This window comes from Homo sapiens, chromosome 17 (genome assembly GCF_000001405.40).
Source record: "Homo sapiens chromosome 17, GRCh38.p14 Primary Assembly".
In the NCBI taxonomy this organism is placed as follows: domain Eukaryota; kingdom Metazoa; phylum Chordata; class Mammalia; order Primates; family Hominidae; genus Homo; species Homo sapiens.
The window spans coordinates 44,969,192-44,988,714 of record NC_000017.11 but is presented as its reverse complement, the minus strand read 5'-3'; the positions used below and the strand labels follow the sequence as shown (position 1 = coordinate 44,988,714).

Here is a 19,523-nt window from a genome sequence, read left to right as displayed (position 1 = left end):
AGCACAGGAAAGGAGGTTAGTGAGGGAGGCTGGGGGGTTGGGAGCCTTCCCAGGGGTTCTGTGGGGCGGGTCTAGGGGGCCTTTCTAGATGGCAGGTGCTAGTGCGTGGGAAAGAGAAGCCGAGGGCCCTGGACAGCTGTGGGGACGGGCCGGCGCTGACCAGCCCAGCGCGCTGAGATTCGCTTCTGTCAGCGTCAAACTGCAGCGCAGGCCCTGCCGACTCGGTAACTAAAGCCAGCCTCGTAAGTGGCTAATTGATTTCTGTTCCCTGATTAAATGTGCAGCACTTTACATGGCAGCAGAAGGAGGTCAGCGCTCCCCCCACTTCTCCAGCGCCGCGTGCGGAGAGACAAAGAAATTGATTTTCCAATCGATGCTCTGAGCAATGATTAAATGTTCTCTGCACAGTGGGCCTAATGAGTCCCCAAGGGGCGTGCCGGCCCTTTAATTAGAGACTCCCACGGGGGCCTGGGATGGGGGCTGCCCTGGAGTGAGGGGGTCCAGCCAGGGAGGAGGCCCCATCCCCAGGGATCGGTGGCCTGGGCCTCTGAGAGATACTGTTTGGGGGCCCCTGGGCGTAGAGACCCAGCGGAGGGGTCCCTAGGCAGGGGGATCCCATAGAGTAGCTCCCGGGCTGAGAGGTCCCTTGGAGGGGCCCCTGAGCTGGGCCCTCGAGGAAGAACCTGGGCTACAAGGATGGAGGCTGGAGGCCCCCGAGTGAATGCACAGATTCACCCACGTGAGCATGAGCCAGGCATGCACCCCCTCCCGCCCCAACCAGAGGACAGACGCAGGCCAAGGCCTCCCTGTCCTCTGCCCCCCAGCATCCAGGCAGCCAGCAGTCCTTTCCGTCAGTTCAGCTCCCCCATCTACGGCGGCGGCGGCGGAGACCCAGACAGGAAATGAATCCCCTCTAAGCGGCTGCTGCGTTTTCCTCACCCAGCTGCCCCATTGGAGAAGCCGACTGAAGACTTTAGAAATTCAAATGAGGCTCTCGGGGGAGAGCGAGTCTTAAACATTCCCCTGCGCTGGCGGCTTTATTGAAGGAATAAACTATATTTGCAAAGTAAGATATTAAGGCTGTCAGTTTCTCTTAGGGATATAATGAGATCCTGGGAGGGAGAGAGGCCGGCAGGATGGAACTCCCAAGGGCGGGAGCCCCAGCCAGGAGGTGGAGTGAGCTGCCCCACCGGGCCAGACAGAGCCCCGCCCCACTGCTACCAGCGCCACTAGGAGCCTAACATCCCCCTCAATCCACCATCCCACCTCCCCTGTCAGAGCTCCTAAGGGATGGAGGCCTGGGTGGAGGCAGGAAGATAGAATGGCTCTGCCTAGCCCTGGAAACCCCAAGACAGTGGAGCCCCTAGAAGTCTCCAGCTCAACTTACCCACCAGCTCTGCCCCATGGAGAGAGCTCTGCTCAGGAGACAGGAAGAGAGAGCAGGGTTGGAGCTGAGACTCTGATGTGGGGCTGTGGCTGAGTCTAGGCTCTCCTAATTTTTTTTTTTTTTTTTTTTTGAGACGGAGTCTTGCTCTGTCACCAGGCTGGAGTGCAGCGGCGCGATCTTGGCTCACTGCAATCTCTGCCTCCCAGATTCAAGCGATTCTCCTGCCTTAGCCTCCCGAGTAGCTGGGATTATAGGCGCGTGCCACCACACCTAGTTAATTTTTGTATTTTTAGTAGACACGGGGTTTCACCATGTTGGCCAGGACCTCGTGATCCACCCATCTCAGCCTCCCAAAGTGCTGGGATTACAGGCTGAGCCACCGTGCCCGGCCAATTTTTAATTTTTTAAAATAGAGATGTGTTCTTGCTATGTTGCCCAGGCTGATCTCAAACTCCTGGGCTCAAGCAATCTTCCCACCTCAGCCTCCCAAAGTGCTGGGATTACAGGTGTGAACCACGATGCCTGGCCAAGGCTCTGCTATTTTGTGAGCTGTATGACCTTGGGCACATTATTCAACCTCTCCGTGATTCTGCTATCTCATCTCTAAAATATTAGTACCTACCTCTTGATTGTTGGAAGGATTAAATGATTTATTACATGGAAGGTGCTTAGCATGTACCTATTTTATGGGTGATGCTCAATAAATATCTTATTAAAGAGTTGAGGGCAGGAGACAGGCATGGTAACTCACACCTGTAATCCCAGCAATTTGGGAGGCTGAAGTGGGAAGATCGCTTGAGCCCAGGAGTTTGATACCAGCCTGAGTAACCAGCAAGACCCCATCTCTACAAAAACTTAAAACATTAGCTAGGCATGGTGGTGTGTGCCTACAGTCCTAGCTACTTGGGATGTTGAGGTGGATTGATCACCTGAGCCCAAGAGTTCAAGGCTACAGTGAGCTATCATCATGCCACTGCACTCCAGCCTGGGTGACAGAGCGAGACCCTGTCTCTAAAAAAAAAAAAAAAAAAAAAAAAAAAAACGAGTTGGTGGGGAGACATAGAGGAAGGTAGTAACCAGTCAACCTCCCCTCCATCCAGGAGTTCCTATCCAACTCTGACCATCCCAGAGTACTGAAACGAGAAAAGTTCCCTTGTCTCCCTCACAGGTAGCCACAGGGGGATTGGCAGTGCCCCGCACCACTACTCAAACCTCTAGGGGAACATACAGATGGGCTTAGACCCCATGGCAGTGTCTAGGGTTGAATGCTTACAGTTCCTGAAGCCCTAGTGGGCATGTGTTACCATGTGCTCTTTTAGTTTTGCCGTCTATAGACGACTTGTGTTAACCAGCTCAATTAGATCCTCTACCTTGTCACAAGGACAGAGGGCTTTCTGTGTCCTGGGGTTCTTGCCTTGGTGTACCAGAAGAATCAGATCATGCATGGGTTTGGAGAATGAGTGCAAGGTTTTATTGAGTGGAAGTAGCCCTCAGCAGATGGGGGAGCCAGAAGGGGGATGGTTTTCCCCTGCAGTTGGGCCACTCTCCTCTGACTTCCCAGCCAAACTCTGCCTCAGCCAAACTCTGCTAGTTCAGCTGGTCGATGGTCGATGGCCTGCCATCATGCCAGGGACTATCGGTACATTCCTCTCGACATCCAGCAGCCCGCGTGCTCCTCCTCTGACATGCTCCTCTTGATGTCCAGCCATTTGTGGGTGCCTGCTAGAATTTCGGGGATTTTATAGGCAGAGGATGGGGCATGGCAGGCCAGGGTGGTCTTGGGAAATGCAACATTTGGACAGGAATGCCTATCCTCACCTAGATCCATGGGGGTGGAGCCCTAGTCAGGAACCACGCCCTCCTCTACCCAGCACTTTCCTTACCCGCCTCCATATCATTTAAAGGGACCATGCTCTTCCCTTCCCAGCACTTTCCTTCTGTATCAGTACCACTACCACCTCTACCATTACTACTATCACCACTACCACCACCACCACCATCACCACAACCAATACCACCACCTCCATCACCACAACCAATACCACCACCACCATCACCACAACCAATACCACCACCTCCATCACCACAACCAATACCACCACCTCCATTGCCACAACCAATACCACCACCTCCATTGCCACAGCCATTACCACCACCACCACAACCAATACCACCACCTCCACCACCACAACCAATACCACCACCACCACCGCCACAACCAATACCACCACCTCCACCACCACAACCAATACCACCACCACCACCGCCACAACCAATACCACCACCTCCACCACCACCACCGCCACAACCAATACCACCACCACCGCCGCCACAACCAATACCACCACCTCCGCCGCCACAACCAATACCACCACCTCCGCCGCCACAACCGATACCACCACCTCCGCCGCCACAACCGATACCACCACCTCCGCCGCCACAACCGATACCACCACCTCCGCCGCCACAACCGATACCACCACCACCGCCGGCACAACCGATACCACCACCTCCGCCGCCACAACCGATACCACCACCACCGCCGCCACAACCGATACCACCACCACCGCCGGCACAACCGATACCACCACCACCGCCGGCACAACCGATACCACCACCACCGCCGCCACAACCGATACCACCACCTCCGCCGCCACAACCGATACCACCACCTCCGCCGCCACAACCGATACCACCACCTCCGCCGCCACAACCGATACCACCACCACCGCCGCCACAACCGATACCACCACCTCCGCCGCCACAACCGATACCACCACCTCCGCCGCCACAACCGATACCACCACCACCGCCGCCACAACCGATACCACCACCTCCGCCGCCACAACCGATACCACCACCACCGCCGCCACAGCCGATACCACCACCACCGCCGCCACAGCCGATACCACCACCACCGCCGCCACAGCCGATACCACCACCACCGCCGCCACAGCCGATACCACCACCACCGCCGCCACAGCCGATACCACCACCACCGCCGCCACAGCCGATACCACCACCACCGCCGCCACAGCCGATACCACCACCACCGCCGCCACAGCCGATACCACCACCTCCATCGCCACAACCGATACCACCACCTCCATTGCCACTGCCAATACCACCACCACCACCACCACCACCATCATCATCATGACTCAGATTAGAGCCAGACACATAGCTTTGAGATAGGAGAAATGGTGCAGAGGGTTCAGAGGGAGTGGAACGGGGTGGGATGAGTCCCAGAAGGTTTCTTGGGGGAGGGGGCCTGTGGACGATACAGAGCCTGGGCACAATTCTTACTCTCTCTTCCCTTTTTCACTAACTGCTAGTGGGTTAAGGTAGAGCTACTCTTTTTTTTTTTTTTTTTTTTTTTTTTGGCAGGAAACTAAGGTCTGAGACTGGTAAAGGAAAAGGAGAGCAAGATGACTGGATCCCCAAGCTCACCACCTCAGAGCTCAGATGGGGAGGAGATAGTAGAGGAATGCCAGCCCCGCCACCCCACCTCAGTGCCAGTCAGAGCTGCCGCAGCATGGTGCTCAGGCTAAGGGAGGCCCACAGCCAAATCTGGGAGAGGAGGTGTCAGGTTTAATGGGCTGGCCAGGGCTGGCCTGTCTGTCACTCTCACTCTGAGGCTGGAGGGGAGATTGGAGTTGACAGTGTGCAGGGGCAGAAGGACAGCAGATCGAGAGCCTGCCCCAGGAACCTGAGGAGGTCTGGCTCTGGGCCTCTGTCATGGCTGTGAGCCTCTGCAATGCGCTGGTCGTCCTTCTAACCTTCTCAGTGAGACCCCCAGCCATTGGTGATGAGAAGGCTGCTGAGACCTAGGAGTGCAGATGAAATGGCCAGGCTCTGCTTCTAACTGCTGCATGACCTTAGGCAAATTACCTGACCTCTCTGGATCTCCATTTCCCCTACCGTGAAATGTGGGTGGCATCATGATGGCATAGAGAAGAAAAATGGACTAGAAGTTAAAGGACCCAGGTTTTAAATACATCTCCATAGGCCAGGCGAGGTGGCTCACGTCTGTAATCCCAGCACTTTGGGAGGCCGAGGCGGGTGGATCACTTGAAGTCAGGAGTTCGGGACCACCCTGGCCAACATGGTGAAACCTCGTCTCTACTAAAAATACAAAAATTAGCCAGGCATGGTGGCAGGCACCTGTAATCCAAGCTACTCTGGAGACTGAGGCAGGAGAATCACTTGAACCCAGAAGGTGGAGGTTGCAGTGAGCTGAGCTGAGATCGTTCCATTGCATTCCAGCCTGGGTGACAGAGTAAGACTCTCTCTCTCAAAACAAAAACAAAAACAGAAACAAAACAAAAAACAAACAAACAAACAAACAAAAAAACAGAAAAAAACTTCTCCATGCCTCTGACCAGGTCATTTGATATTTGGTCTCAGTGTCCTTATCTGCAAAAGGAGATAGTAAACTCAGGGCATTGCTGTGAAAAGGAGGTGAGCACCATGGGCCTGGCATATAGCTGGCCCTCAGAGATTCACTGAAATGGAGCCCTCTTCTAGCTCTTAAAATCTGAGCATGGGATTTTGAGATAAACTCCCAACACCATCACCACCTCCACCATCTCTACCACCACCATCACCTCCATGGCTACCATCATTATCATCACCACCACTACCACCTCCATCGCCACCACCATCACAATTACCACCTCCATTATCTACCTCCACCATCACCTCCATCATCACCACCAATACCATCATTACCAACATCACCTCCATCACTATCACCACCACCACCACAGCCACCTCCATCACCTCCATCACTACCACCAGCTCTACTACCTCCATCACCTCCATCGCTACCACCATCTCTACCACCACCACCACAATTACCACCTCTATTATCTACCTCCACCGTCACCTGCATCATCACCACCAATACCATCATTACCAATAGCACCTCCATCACTACCACCACCACCACCTTCTCCATCACCACCACCAATATCATTACCACCACCACCTCCTCCATCACCACCACCAATATCATTACCACCACCACCACTTCCATCACACCACTGTTACCACCACCATTCCATAACCACCAGACCCACAATATGCTTTTATAAACTTGAAAGCCAGAGAAAGAAGAAACAGTGAAGAAAGGGGCTGTTTCTCTGGAGTATTCAGGTGGTTCAGGTGGCAAAGCCAGGCCTCTTCACCCTCTTCCCCTTAAATAAGAGGCTTCCCATAGAGCAGAACAGAATCAGATGCCTGGGAAGACAGCATAAAACATAGATTAATGGCACATGGAATGCTGGGTCCTCCTGCACTCCCCATACCCCCTAAGCTTCCTTTCCTTGCCTGTGAGGAGAGATGCAGCATATATCACTGGCAAAGGGGCAGGGAAAGGTACTAGCACTGGTCGAGGCCCTACTGTGTACCAGGCACCTTCTTTGGTGACGTATATACTTAAAAAGTCAATGGTACCCTGGTGATGGGTATTACTTACTGCGTTTCACAGAAAAGTAAATAAACTGTGACTCAGAGATGAAGCAATTTGCCTAAGGTCACCTGGCCAGCGAGTGTCCAAGCTGAGATTCAGTTTCACATTCGTACATCCCCCCATTACCAGATGGCCTGATTGTTAGGAAAAGCGAAACTGCCAAGGCAGGAGAGGGATGGGAAGATGTTGATCCTGGGACGAGAGAAGAATTCTGGGTGATTTCCAAGTGTTCCACTGGAAGAGCCCAATGTCTGGGTCCCCAGGCTGGGCACTCTGACACTGCTCTCTGGCCCCTTGGGGGAATCACATTTTGTTGTGCGTTTGTTTGGTTTTGATCAACTCTAAACACTATGTAAGCAAGAACCTTGTCTGGCTTTCTCACTGGCTCCCAGGACGCAGCTCAGGACCTGGCACTCGGATGAGCAATGGTTGTTGAGTAAATACATGAATGAACCCGTGAAAGCATGAATCAATCAGGACATCAAAACCTGGACGGAAAGCTGCACTGCTGATTAAAAAAACAGGAAAACAGCAGTCAGTGCAACTTTCCCTCCTTTGTATTATGATTCCTTTTTTGCCTTACTGATTTTATAGAAATGATTGTTCTCAGATTGCAGAGCACAAACTGGCTGATTGATGCCCCAGAACTAATACCGTGAGACAGACCCGAGGCGAGAAGGACGATTATTTAACACAGCACCAGGGGCATGTGGGGTCATCATTCTTGTGCATGGTAAAGCGACGAAATAAAAAGTTTATGCCCAAAACACACTGGGTTCCTCATAGTGGCTTCATTCCCCAACCCCCTCCTCAAGCACCCTGTCTCATTCACCAGTTCCTTCCCTGTCTAGCAGGTCCTGGGTGCCTGGGAGCAGAGAGTTGGCCCATTCTCCCCAAGTCCAGCTTCAAGGTCCAGGGACCTGGGCAAGGTGTGGTTAACACTGCCCACGTTTTGGGGAGGGGGCCAGTGGCTCCCCTGCTCTCTACTGTGACACTGGGAGGCAAGGGCAGCCAGGCCGATTCCTGGTTTCATCTGGGCCCCTGTGGGTGATGAGATGGGCAGTGATGGGTGAGCTGGCAGCCAGGCTGGAGTGGCATGGCCAGCTGCCCTGGGGACTGTCTTCCCTGCTTGTCACCACTCCCGGCTGCCCAAGCAGCAAAGCCACAGTGACAAGATCCAGAGGGGAAAGGCTCCAGCTGGGGGTGGTGCTGGTCTCATGGCCACCGGAGCAGCAATGTGACAGCTTCTCATCTGGGTGGGGGGGCCTCGGTCCCCACCCCCTTCCCCCTCTGGCTTGACCCTTGTCAGTCTCTATTTCTTTGCCTTGCCTTTGTCTCTGCCTTGCTTCCACACCAGGCTTCTATCAGCTCTGAATGGCCCTTGGTCCATGCCTCTCTCCCTCTCTCCTCCCTCTTCCTCACTTCCTGACTTCAGGACCTGTTCCCTCCTGCTCCCTACAAGCATGCATACACACACATACACACACACACACACACACACACACACACACACACACGCACTCATACCCCACCTCAGATAGGAAACAGGACTTGCCCTCCCAGGACCTGTGTTAAGACCTATGGGGAGTGGCTGGGATCTGGGCCCCCAGTGGGTCTGTGAGCATGAGGTGGTGAGTGTGCAAAAGTGTGAGCCTATGAGAGTGAGTATCAACGTGGACGTGGGAGTTGGAAAGCATGTGTGTACATGTGTGAGTGTGACAGTGAAGTGTTGAAAGAGTGAGGGTGGGGGTCAGTGTGGCCTTGGCCACATGAGCACGCAGGTGAGCTGTGGTGAGGGTGGAAGGATGTGAGTGACTGGGTGTGAAAGCGGAGCCCAGGGCAGATGGACAAACGCATCCTTCAAGCTCGTGTTCCTGGATATAGAGGCTGCCGGCCCCATACCCTCCTTGATCACCCCCTCTTTGTCATCCTGGGCTCCCTCAAATCAGGCCAGGGTGTGGGAAGGGGGAGTGAAGCTGCTGAGCTCCGGGCAGGGCCCTGCCCGCTCCCTGGGCCTGTCAGCCACTGATCTGTTCCATGTTCCTATAAATATTTACAAATCCCAGCTGCTGAGGAGCAAGACATCCTCCGCCAGCTGGGGCTCCCAGCCTGGAAACTGGCAGGGAGGGAGCTAGCAATCGAGGAGCAGCGGGGAGGAGAGGTGGGACTGCACTGGAGACTGGAGAGGCAGGCATCCAGGACTCCTGAGTTCTGCTCCTAGTTTTACCAATGGTTGGCCTAAAGTGCTCGAGTATGTCTTCATCAGGAACTGTAGAGCCAGAAATACCTTCCAAGATAACATGGGAAACCTGCCCCACCCCTACCTGATAAGCACTCCCCACTCGACAGCCAACCTCCTGCCTTCTAGTCATGTCTCTCAATTAGGGGCAAAGAGAGGGATCTTCTTGTGTTTTTGTTTTTTTTTTTTTTCTGTAGAGACAAGGTCTTGCCATGTTGCCCAGCCTGTGATCTCAACTCCTGGCTTCAAGCAATCCTCCTGCCTCTGCCTCCCAAAGGACTGGGATTACAGGGCCGAGCCACCACACTCAGCCTCTTCTTACTTTTTACATGACACAGAAAATTCTCCTGGAGTCCCTGGAGGGTATTACGTCTTTGAACTCAAAATCTTTCCCTGGACCCACGATCAATCCATCAGGCTCTTTCTAGATTGGAAGCTGGAAGACCTGCAGCTCAGTGACCCCCATCACAAGAGCCCCTTCTGTAGCCCCCGATAGGAACTAAAGCATTTTTTCTGGCCTCACCCCTACCCCCAGCCAGCCCTGTCACTTCTGGAGCTGGGCTGGTTGTGACAATCTGGAGGAGGGAGAGTTACGTGGCACCTGTAGGGAGGACTCACTCCCCCGAGCCCGTCAATACTTGGCCCAGGCTGGTGGTCAGACACCTGGAGAACCAGCCCCTGAGAGCTTCCTTTCTCAGGCAGAGAATGATTCTTGATTATCAATCCTCTATCCCCAGTGCCCAGCACAGTGCCAGGCACACCCCAAGCCCTTGGGCATTTATGTGGCATCATCAGCCATATGCCTCGATTTCCAAAGCAAGCTTTCCCAATAGCACTTTGTGGCAAACTCCAACTTCTAGTCCCAGAAGTCATGTGCCTGAGGGATGGCACCACAGCGCCCAGATGTCCTGGGCCTCCCAGCTCAGTCTAGCCCATCTCGGATGCAGGAACTCCTGACAGTGAGAGCCGAGATCTCTTTCCCATCTTGGCTGGAATTTCAGATTTATCAATGTTGAGCCCTCCTGGTCCCCAGTGGGACTCCCCTTCGCATTGCCCAGGCGGTGCCTATATCCTAGCCTAGGTTTTCCCAAGAAGTGAGACCCTGGGAAGGACCTAGAGTGGGAGATAAATCAGGCAAAGGGAATCTCATGACACTGAGGGGCTCTGGCTGCTGTGTGGGACACCCCCTGGAAACTCGCCCCTAGTGGGCGTCAAAGTCAGGCAGGCAGGGGCTGCTGCTCTGCCAGAGGCTGGAAGCCAGGACTACGCTTCCTATCTTACTCTTGGGATCCAGGTCAGCTGTTTTCCCCTGGGTGGGGGAGTCTAACCCTCCCAATTTTATAAAATGAGAAGAAGAGCTGAGGCCATGCTCAGTCTGCCACTTTTCTGAGTCCAGAGCTGTGAGGAAGTGGAGAGGGAGAAGGCTCAGGGTGGAACAAAGAAGGGGGCTCAGGGGCTGCGAGTTTTCCTTGGCAAAAGTCAACTGGCCCCACCACTGAGAAAACTCTGACCTTCTCAGCTGCCAGGGAGGAACAGCAGGGACTGGGGAGGAGGGAACAGGGAGAGAGGACAGCCTGATGTTCTGTGCTCTGGAAGAGAAGTCTGATGATGGCAGTGGCATGGAAAGGGTTAAGAATATTCCTAAAATAGCCAAGCCAGAGCCTAAGCCAGCCAGCTAGTGCCTCTCCCAGAGAGCAGATCTATAGTGGGAAAAGTCAGCCCGATCTGCGCCCCCCTCCACCTCTCCTGCCTGCTGCCTGGCTTCGGCTGCTAATTAAGCCTCCCACCCCCTCCACCAACCCCTCCCGTCCTAGTGGGGGCAGGGGTAGGAGTGAGCAGAGGGGCCAAGTCTCCCCAAACAACAGGGAATCCCCCCTGGGACCAGGAGCTCTGTGGCCCAGCAGCCCTCCATCCCCGCCCTGGCCAGGGTCAGGGATAGGGGTATACAGATGGACAGACAGGCAAGGTGCAGGCCTGTGCATGGGAGCAAGGCTGCCAGGACAGAGCAGCCAAGTTCTCCTGCCCTGACACATGCTTGGTCAGCCCTGACTCGGGGAGACCTCCAAGAAGCTCAGCAAACATCAGCTTTTCCTAGCTCTGTGTCCTCCTCTGCTTGGGGCATCTTGGGATGAGGTTGGGGCAGGGATGAGGCAGGGGAGCCCTTCCAAAGAACAAACCACATCTCTGTTTCAGGGGCAGGACCAGCTACATAACTTGTGGGACCCGGTGGGAACTGAAAATGTGAGTCTGTTGTTCAAAAATCATTAAGAATCTCAAGGTGGTGATAGCAGAGCATTAAACCAAGTTCAGGTCCCTTTTGTGTGCGGGGCCCTTGCCACCAACAGGTGGCACATCTATGAAGCCGGCCCTGTGTAGGAGTTCAGTTTGATGAACATTTACTAAGCACCCACTGCTCAGCTCTTCTGGCTCTGCCACACCAGAGACCCCCTCTCTGACCCTGTCCTCAAATGTATGGAGATGAGGTACTCAAAGACCCCTCTCTGAACATGGAAGGGGGCTGGGCCACCCCCAACCCTGGCTGATTGGTGCCCTGCAAGGATACTGCTGCAGCCATAGTTCCAACCACACACCCAGCTGTAAGACCTCCCTGAGCCTCACCCTCCATGTCCACCCTCAGAGGCTCTGTGAGGAACCCCCCTGCTCCCCGAAGCACAGAGGCCAGCAATTGGCCCTCCTCCCCTCACCCTGGGGTCTCTCATCCATCCTGGAAAGAGCCCCTGGGATTCCCGTTTGGCTCCGCCTCAGATTGGCTCTATGACCTTAGGCAAGCTATTTCCCTCTCAGGCCCTCAGTTTCCCTGTCTGTCAAAGGTGGGGTCTCTAAGACCTCTCCAGACCTTAAGTCCTATGATCTCCTGAGGTGGGAAGAAGAAGGGACATTTTCCCTAGAAGGGACAGGGCTTCCAAAGAGGAAGCTTTCTGGGGAGTAGGAGGCTTTCTCCCTGATACCCCCCTCCTCAGACCCAGAAATCAGGAAGACCAGCTGCTCCCAACTAGCCCTGGATCCTCTGCCTCCCCGCATCTTACCTTGGAGTGGGGCTGGGGGCTGGTGGGGCTGGAAGGCCTGTGGGAGGGAGTGGGGAGGCTGCGGGCCATGCTGGCCAGGCGGGGCCTTCTCTGCCGCCTTTGCAGGAGGCTCAGCATAATTGCACCGCCTGTCACTCCCGCGTCCTGCTATCTGTCTCTCCAGCTGACCCGGCGCACCTGCCATTATATTGGTTCCTGTTGGGGCTGTGGAGCCTCATCACTTATACATGCAGCTGGGAGCCGCAGGCTGGGCTGAGGGGAGATAGCCCCTCCCCTTAGGTCTCTCCCTCCCTCCCGTGGGGCCTTTTCGGAGCTGTGTCCCTGGAACTGAATTTGGAATGGGCAGCAGGCAGCTGCCGATCAGAATGGGTAGGGAGGACCCCCAGGACCGGGCAGGTCCCTGGAACCCCAGACACAAGGCTCAGGGTTCTCTGGTGAGAGAGGCATAAGAAAATCTGCCTGTGACCTGGGTACTTGGGCTCTGCCAGCTGAATCCCACTCTTTCCTCCTCAGAAGATGGAGCTGGGAAGAGAGGCCCCTGAACAAACTCCCCTCATCAACCTCTGAGGCCTGATCCGGACTCAGGAGTTCTGAGACCCAGCCTAGTTCAGCCCACTGAGGCATACCCTAACCCCCACCCCAAATTGCAACTCAACTTCCATTCTCCCATACTTTCTGGCCAAAGTCCCCCTCTCCAAAAGGATGCTGAAATTATGGAGGGTTTTCACAAGAAGGATCTGGAAATGTCTGAATTCAAAAGTCATCTTGGGGTTTAAAATGGGCTGGGCATGGTGGCTCATGCCTGTAATCCCAGCACTTTGGGAGGCCAAGGCGGGTGGATCACAAGGTCAGGAGACCGAGACCATCCTGGCCAACATGGTGAAACCCCATCTTTACTAAAATACAAAAAATTAGCCAGGCATGGTGGCCCGCACCTGTAGTCCCAGCTACTTGGGAGACTGAGGCAGGGGAATCGCTTGAACCCAGGAGGCAGAGGTTGCAGTGAGCCAAGATTGTGCCACTGTGCTCCAGCCTGGCGACAGAGCAAGACTCCATCTAAAAAAATATATAAATGGATGCCAGTGTTGGGCTGTCTTTAATGTAAGAAATACAGCCTCTCAGAGCCAGAAAATTACCCAGCCCAGAGAAAGAAATGGATGGGCGTGATGAGACATCCCCAAACACACATGGCAAACTGGTATCCTCACTGGGCCTTGAGAGATGGTCTCTGCCTCCTGGTGCCCAGCTCCTCATCCTGCCCAAGCCAGGGCTGTAGACTGGTGGCTTCAACCAGAAAACAAAAATACGCCTTTTATACTCCTGGGTCTTGACCCTAAAGTACCTTTCCTTGTCTTCCCCACCAGGTGTGTGCCTGCTGGGCTAGGTAGAGTGGGAGTGTAAAGAGCCCCCACCTGGGGTCAAACAGACCTGAGTTCCAATCCTGCTCTCCCTCTTACCAGCTGTATGATCCTGGGCCAGTCACTGAACCTCTCTAAGTCTCAGCATCCTTATCTCCAATATGGAGATCATGCATATTCCTTAGACTTTTGGTGAGGGGTAAATGAAATAGAGTATGTGAAGCACCTGGCACATATCAGTACCCAGGCAACAGCAATAGCATCCATCCATCCTTCATTCAATAAACATCTCAAGATCCTTCCAGAAGCCTGGAAGTCTCCTGCCCCCTACTCCATCCCCATCCCCAACTAATCTGTCAATAAGTCAGCCAATTCCACCTCCTACCTTCCCAAGTCAGGCCATCATTAGCTGTCACCTGAACCACTGCAACTGCCTGGTACTAAGTCTCCCTACCAGCACTCTTACTCTATTTTAATCCTTTGTCCTCACAGTAGCCAGAGTGCTCATTCTAATCTGAAAAATCTGATTATATTATTCATTCACTTAACACCCTCCAGTAATTTTTTTTTTTTTTTTTTTTTTTTTTTTGTGGAGACAGTCTCGCTCTGTTGTCCAGGCTGGAGTGCAGTGGTGCCATCTTGGCTCAATCCAACCTCCGCCTCCTGAGTTCAAGCGATTCTCCTGCCTCAGCCTCCCAAGTAGCTAGGATTATAGGCGCCCACCACCACACCCGGTTAATTTTTTTTTATTTTTAGTAGAGACGGGGTTTCACCATGTTGGCCAGGCTAGTCTCGAACTCCTGACCTCAGGTGATCCACCCATCACGGCCTCCCAAAGCGCTGGTGATTATAGGCATGAACCACCATGCCCAGGCCCTCCAGTAATCTCTAATTACCCTTAGGACAAATTATAAACTCCTTGTCACAGCCCACGAGGCTCTGCAAGCATGGTCCTTAGCACATGCTGTTCTCTCTACCCATAATCCTTTTCTTTCTCTCCCTCCTCCACCTCCAGTGGCCATATTCTTCACCTTGATGACTCCTTTCAGGGCTTACCTTAAATATCATCTCCTTTAGAAAGTTTCCTATTATTCCCTGCCCCCAGATGAATTTAAGTGACACTGCCGAGTGTGCCCAAAGTACTCCACATTCTAAGTGACCTTGTCAGGCTAGATAGCAGTTGCTTGTTTAATTGTCCAGGTTTCAGCAATACATGGTAAACTACATGAGGTCAGGAGCCTTTTCTCTTTTTCTCCCCAACCTTACCAGCCAAACAGAAGTCTTTTTTGCTCATCTTTGTGTCCCGTGATAACAAGAGATGTGGTGGGCAGTCAGCTAATATGGTTTATAGAATGGATGGAGGATGGATGAATGGATGGATGGATAAATGGAAAAAAATGACACCTCCTCTGTAAAGTCTTCTTGGACTCCTCTGGGCAGGGCATTATTATTATTATTATTATTGAAATGGAGTCTCGCTCTATCACCCAGGCTGAAGTGCAGTGGCACGATGTCAGCTCACTGCAACCTCCGCCTCCTGGGTTCAAGTGATTCTCCTGCCTCAGCCTCCCAAGTAGCTGGGACTACAGGTGCATGTCACCACACCCAGCTAATTTTTGTATTTTTAGCAGAGATGGGGTTTCATCATGTTGGCCAGGCTGGTCTCGAACTCCTGGCCTCAAGTGATCCACCCTCCTCAGCCTCCCAAAGTGCTGGGACTATAGGCGTGAGCCACTGCACCCAGCAGGGGATTATTTTTAATTTTTTATTTTTGAGACAGGGTCTCGCTCTGTTGCCCAGGCTGAAGTACAGTGGCACAAACATGGCTCACTGCAGTCTCAATCTCCTGAACTCAAGCGATCCTCCCACCTCAGCCTCCCAAGTCGCAGAGACTACAGGCCCGACTAATTTTTTATTTTTTGTAGAGATAGGGTTCTCACTATGTTGCCCAGGCTGGTCTCAAACTCCTGGACTCAAGCCATCCTCCCGCCTTTTGGCATCCCAAAGTGCTAGGATTGTAGGAGTGAGCCACTGTGTCCAGCCTGGGCAGGACATTCTTCATCTATGCGTCATTTGGACTTCGTAACACCTCCTACAAATTTCTACCCAAGCCTTAGATTCCTCAGCCATAAAATGGGGAAAATGATAGTACCTACCTCATGAGGTTAATACTAGTACGTGACATAAGCCATGTAATAGTTTTAAATCCATGATAATAGGTTAAGTGTAAATGAGATAATCCATAAAAGTGCTTAAGAACAGGATCTTGGCCAGGCGCGGTGGCTCATGCCTGTAATCCTAGCACTTTGGGAGGCCTATTGGGGGTGGATCACAAGGTCAGGAGATCGAGACCATCCTGGCTAACATAGTGAAACCCTGTTTCCACTAAAAATACAAAAAACTTAGCCAGGCATAGTGGCAGGCACCTGTAGTCCCAGCTACTCCGGAGGCCGAGGCAGGAGAATGGCGTGAACCCAGGAGGCAGAGCTTGCGGTCAGCCGAGATCGCACCACGGCACTCCAGCCTGGGCGACAGAGAGAGAATCCATCTAAGAAAAAAAAAAAGAACAGGATCTTGCACTTTGTAAGTGCTCAAAAACTGTTAGCTATGGTAATTATTGTGGCAAAGTATCCTATCTTTCTGCACGTGTCCCCCACCAAACAGTGAACTCCTCAGGGGCACCGCTCAGCCTTCCGGTCCTACTCATCTTGGGACACACCATCACCACCTAGCTAGGTGTTTTCACCCAGGCAGGACCTAGCTAGCTGTTTTCAGTAAATGTAAAAACAACTCAATGCAGATCCAGCAGCTGATGAGTCAGGGCACAGCACCCCCCTTCCTCACTCCCAAACCCAGACACACAGCAACATCAACAGCCTCTTACACATTCACACCCACTCACATTCATTCAAAGAACCCCAAAATACCACAGAACAGTCACTCAGTTCCTAAAGTCAGTGCCAGTCATGCCTGGGTAAAAAGCCTTACCTACGCTCTTCCCTGTACCTTCCACAATCTACCTCAATGCCTGGAATGACTGGGGCTGTCGGCACCACCCCCTCACTGTAGGAGTTCCTATGGTAGGGTCATTCCAGATGGGGGCTGTGGGAGTGACCCCTCACACTCATAGAAGTTCGGGAAGCAAAGTTAGACCTTCAGCCCCCCACTGACAGCATCCCAGCTACAGAGAGTGCAGCCGCCCTCCTTACCTTGAAACCCTCCCTCCCTTTTCGCTTCTGAAAACCTGAGTCCTGGCCCCGGCTGGGCAAGCTGGCTCAAGCCTGTAATCCCAGCAGGAAGCCCAGGCAGGCAGATCACCTGAGCTCAGGAGTTTGAGACCAGCCTGGCCAACATGGTGAAACCATGTCTGTACTAAAAATACAAAAATTAGCTGGGCATGGTGGCACGTGCCTGTAATCTCAGCTCTTCGGGAGGCTGAGGCAGAAGAATGGCTGGAACCTGGGAGGCGGAGTTGGGGTGAGCCGAGATCGCACGGTTGCACTCCAGCCTGGGCAACAAGGGCGAAACTCAGTCTCAAAAAAAAAAAAAAGAAAGAAAGAAAAAAAAGAAAACCTGAGTCCTTGTTCTTAGCAGGTGGTTGAAGAAGAGGCCTGGAAGCCGGAACTTCAGGGTTCTTCCCTCACTCATCCAGTTCCATCTCTGAACCTGGGAGCCTAGGTCCATTGTCCCCCTCTCCTAGTGTCAAGGACAGCAATGGGTAGGAAGCTGGCAGGACCAAGTAGACCCAAGGCCCGGGGGTCTCCTGAGAGGGCTTTCTTGGCCTTGAGGTGAAATAGTTATATTAGCTACCATTTACGAGGTGTATAATAAGGGTCAGATACTGAGCCCAGGACTTTACATACGTAATACATCATTTAATCCTCACAACCACCCTTTTACCAAAGGATGCCAGGGGCTGCTGGGTAGGCTATTTACCTAAAATCACCGGGTAGGATTGGCACGCAAGCCGTTTTAGTTTTTGTTCTTAATGAGACAGGGTCTTGCTCTGTCGCCCAGGCTGGAGTGCAGTGGCGCAATCTCAGCTTATTGCAGCCTCGACCTCCCAGGCTCAAGCGATCCTCCCGCCTCAGCCTCCTGAGTAGCTGGGACTACAGGTAAAAGCCACAACGCCAGGATCTCCCTATGCTGCCCAGGCTTGTTCGGAACTCCTGAGCTCAAGCGATCCTCGGGCCTCAACCTCCCAGAGTGCTGGGATTACAGACGTGAGCCACCGCGCCCGGCTGGCACTCAGGTCTTTAATTTCAGAATCTTCAACAGTCCAGCTTTAAACAATGTTGGGGGGCAGTATGGCGGATGGGGGGGTTGTGACTGTCTTCAGGTGTTAAGCTGGGAGATGCCCCTCAAGGCAGCACTCTCTCCCCAATCAGCCAAGCCCTCATCTCCCGGAAAGAGGGGCGCTGAGAGCAGGGGATGGGGGTGGAGGGTCGGGTAGGTGGTTAAGGGGTGCTTCTTTGGGGGCCTGGGCGGAGCCAGGGCGGGGCTTGGCGAGCCCAGGGGAGGCGCCAAGCCGGTGGCCCCAGCTCACAGGCCAAGATGGCTGTTAATTAAAGTGCTGGCACCAGCTCCTCTCTGCAAAGTTTGAAGCCGTTATTTTCCACTCCAGCGAAGCGGGGAGAATCCGGCTGGGCTGACGGAGACGCCACACCGCGCCAGGGGAGCAGGAGCTTTTTCGGAGCGGGAGGCGGGGCGCCGTGTGGCTGCGAGCGCGCCTCTTGGATGCCCCGGCCGGCGCGGGGGTGGGTGGGCGCTCCCGCCCCATCCTTGGCCCCGGGCGGCCAGCCGCGGTGTGCCCGGAGGGCTCTGCGAGGGCTGTGGGTGGCGGGCGAGCCCCAGCGGCGTAGCAGAGGAGGGGCCCCCGAGCGAGCGTACTAGGGAGAAGGGGGTCCGTGCAAATCCCAGGCTGACGACCGCGCACGCGCCCCTCGGGTCACCAGCCCTGTCGCTCTTGGTGGGGCACACCGAGGAGACCGCCGTGGGGAACCGGGGACCGGATTGCCTGACAGCCGAGCGCTGAAGACTACTCTTCCTGAGCCTAGGGAGGTCTGGCTGCCCTGAGCCCCCTACCCCTGGGCTTTGGGCAGTAAACGGTACCTAGAGACTCTATCGCGCTGAGGTTGGAAGAGCCTGGAGCCAGGCTACGAGTTTGAGTCCCGGCTCTCCCACTTATTAGTTGTGTGACTTTAAGCAAATCTCTTAACTTCCCAGAGCCTCAGTTCTCCATCTGTAAAATTAAAATAATCTTGGATTTTACTTCTTTGGACTGATGTGAAGATCAAGGGTGATCATGTATGTAAAACATTCAACACAGGGCCTAGCACAGAGTAAACCCTGAATAAATGCTACTTATTGAAAATTTTTTAGCTCCCTCCTTGGTGGTGGTGGGGTCACTCCAACCTGGCCTCAGCCATTAGTGCTTGGAGGGTCCTCTTTCACAGCCCCCTCGTTGGATGTCCCTGTGTCCTTCTACTCCCAGCCCTGGATGAGGTGAGCGACCTCAACCTTGGGTAGGGAAGGCCAGGGAATCATTTTGCCCATGGTGAAGGGTCAACAGGGAGAGTGTGAGCCGGCGGGGGGTAGCTCTCGGGAGAGGAGAGGCTGGGATGTCATTCTTTAGCAGCCGGCCAGTCGCCTCCGAATGGCTGAATCCTCCCCGGTGGGCCGGATAAAGGAGGGCGAAGGAGGAGCGGTGGAGCAGCCCGACCTGGGCCTCAGATAATGTGACAAATATTTTGATGGAAGCAGACACGTTTCGGTTTATGCAACCTAAACACTTTGCTGCACTTGAGGAAGAGGAGAGCCTCCCACAGCCTGATGGGGAGAAGAGTTAGGGGGCGGCGGAGGAGGCTGGGGAGTGAGGGAGGAGGAGCTGAGGGGCTGGATGAGATCCACCCCTCATCCTGGAGGCTGGAAAAGGGGGTTACCCCTCAGGGACGTATTTGCATCTGTCAGCATGGAGAAATAACGTGGGGGTGCCCACCTTTTTAGGATCCCCTTTTCT

The 19,523-nt window shown here is 53.8% G+C and overlaps 1 pseudogene, besides 1 other annotated feature; it reads left to right on the top strand.

The window, feature by feature from the left end:
• Positions 1 to 88: 88 nt before the first annotated feature.
• LOC112268183 (basic proline-rich protein-like) lies at positions 89 to 18,539 on the top strand (annotated as a pseudogene).
• Positions 18,216 to 18,285: a silencer, noted in NCBI's record as "silent region_8605". NCBI's record gives its function as "represses an Ori minimal core promoter by ATAC-STARR-seq in GM12878 lymphoblastoid cells {active_cell/tissue: GM12878}" and the evidence as "EXISTENCE:reporter gene assay evidence [ECO:0000049][PMID:35858748]".
• Positions 18,540 to 19,523: the final 984 nt, after the last annotated feature.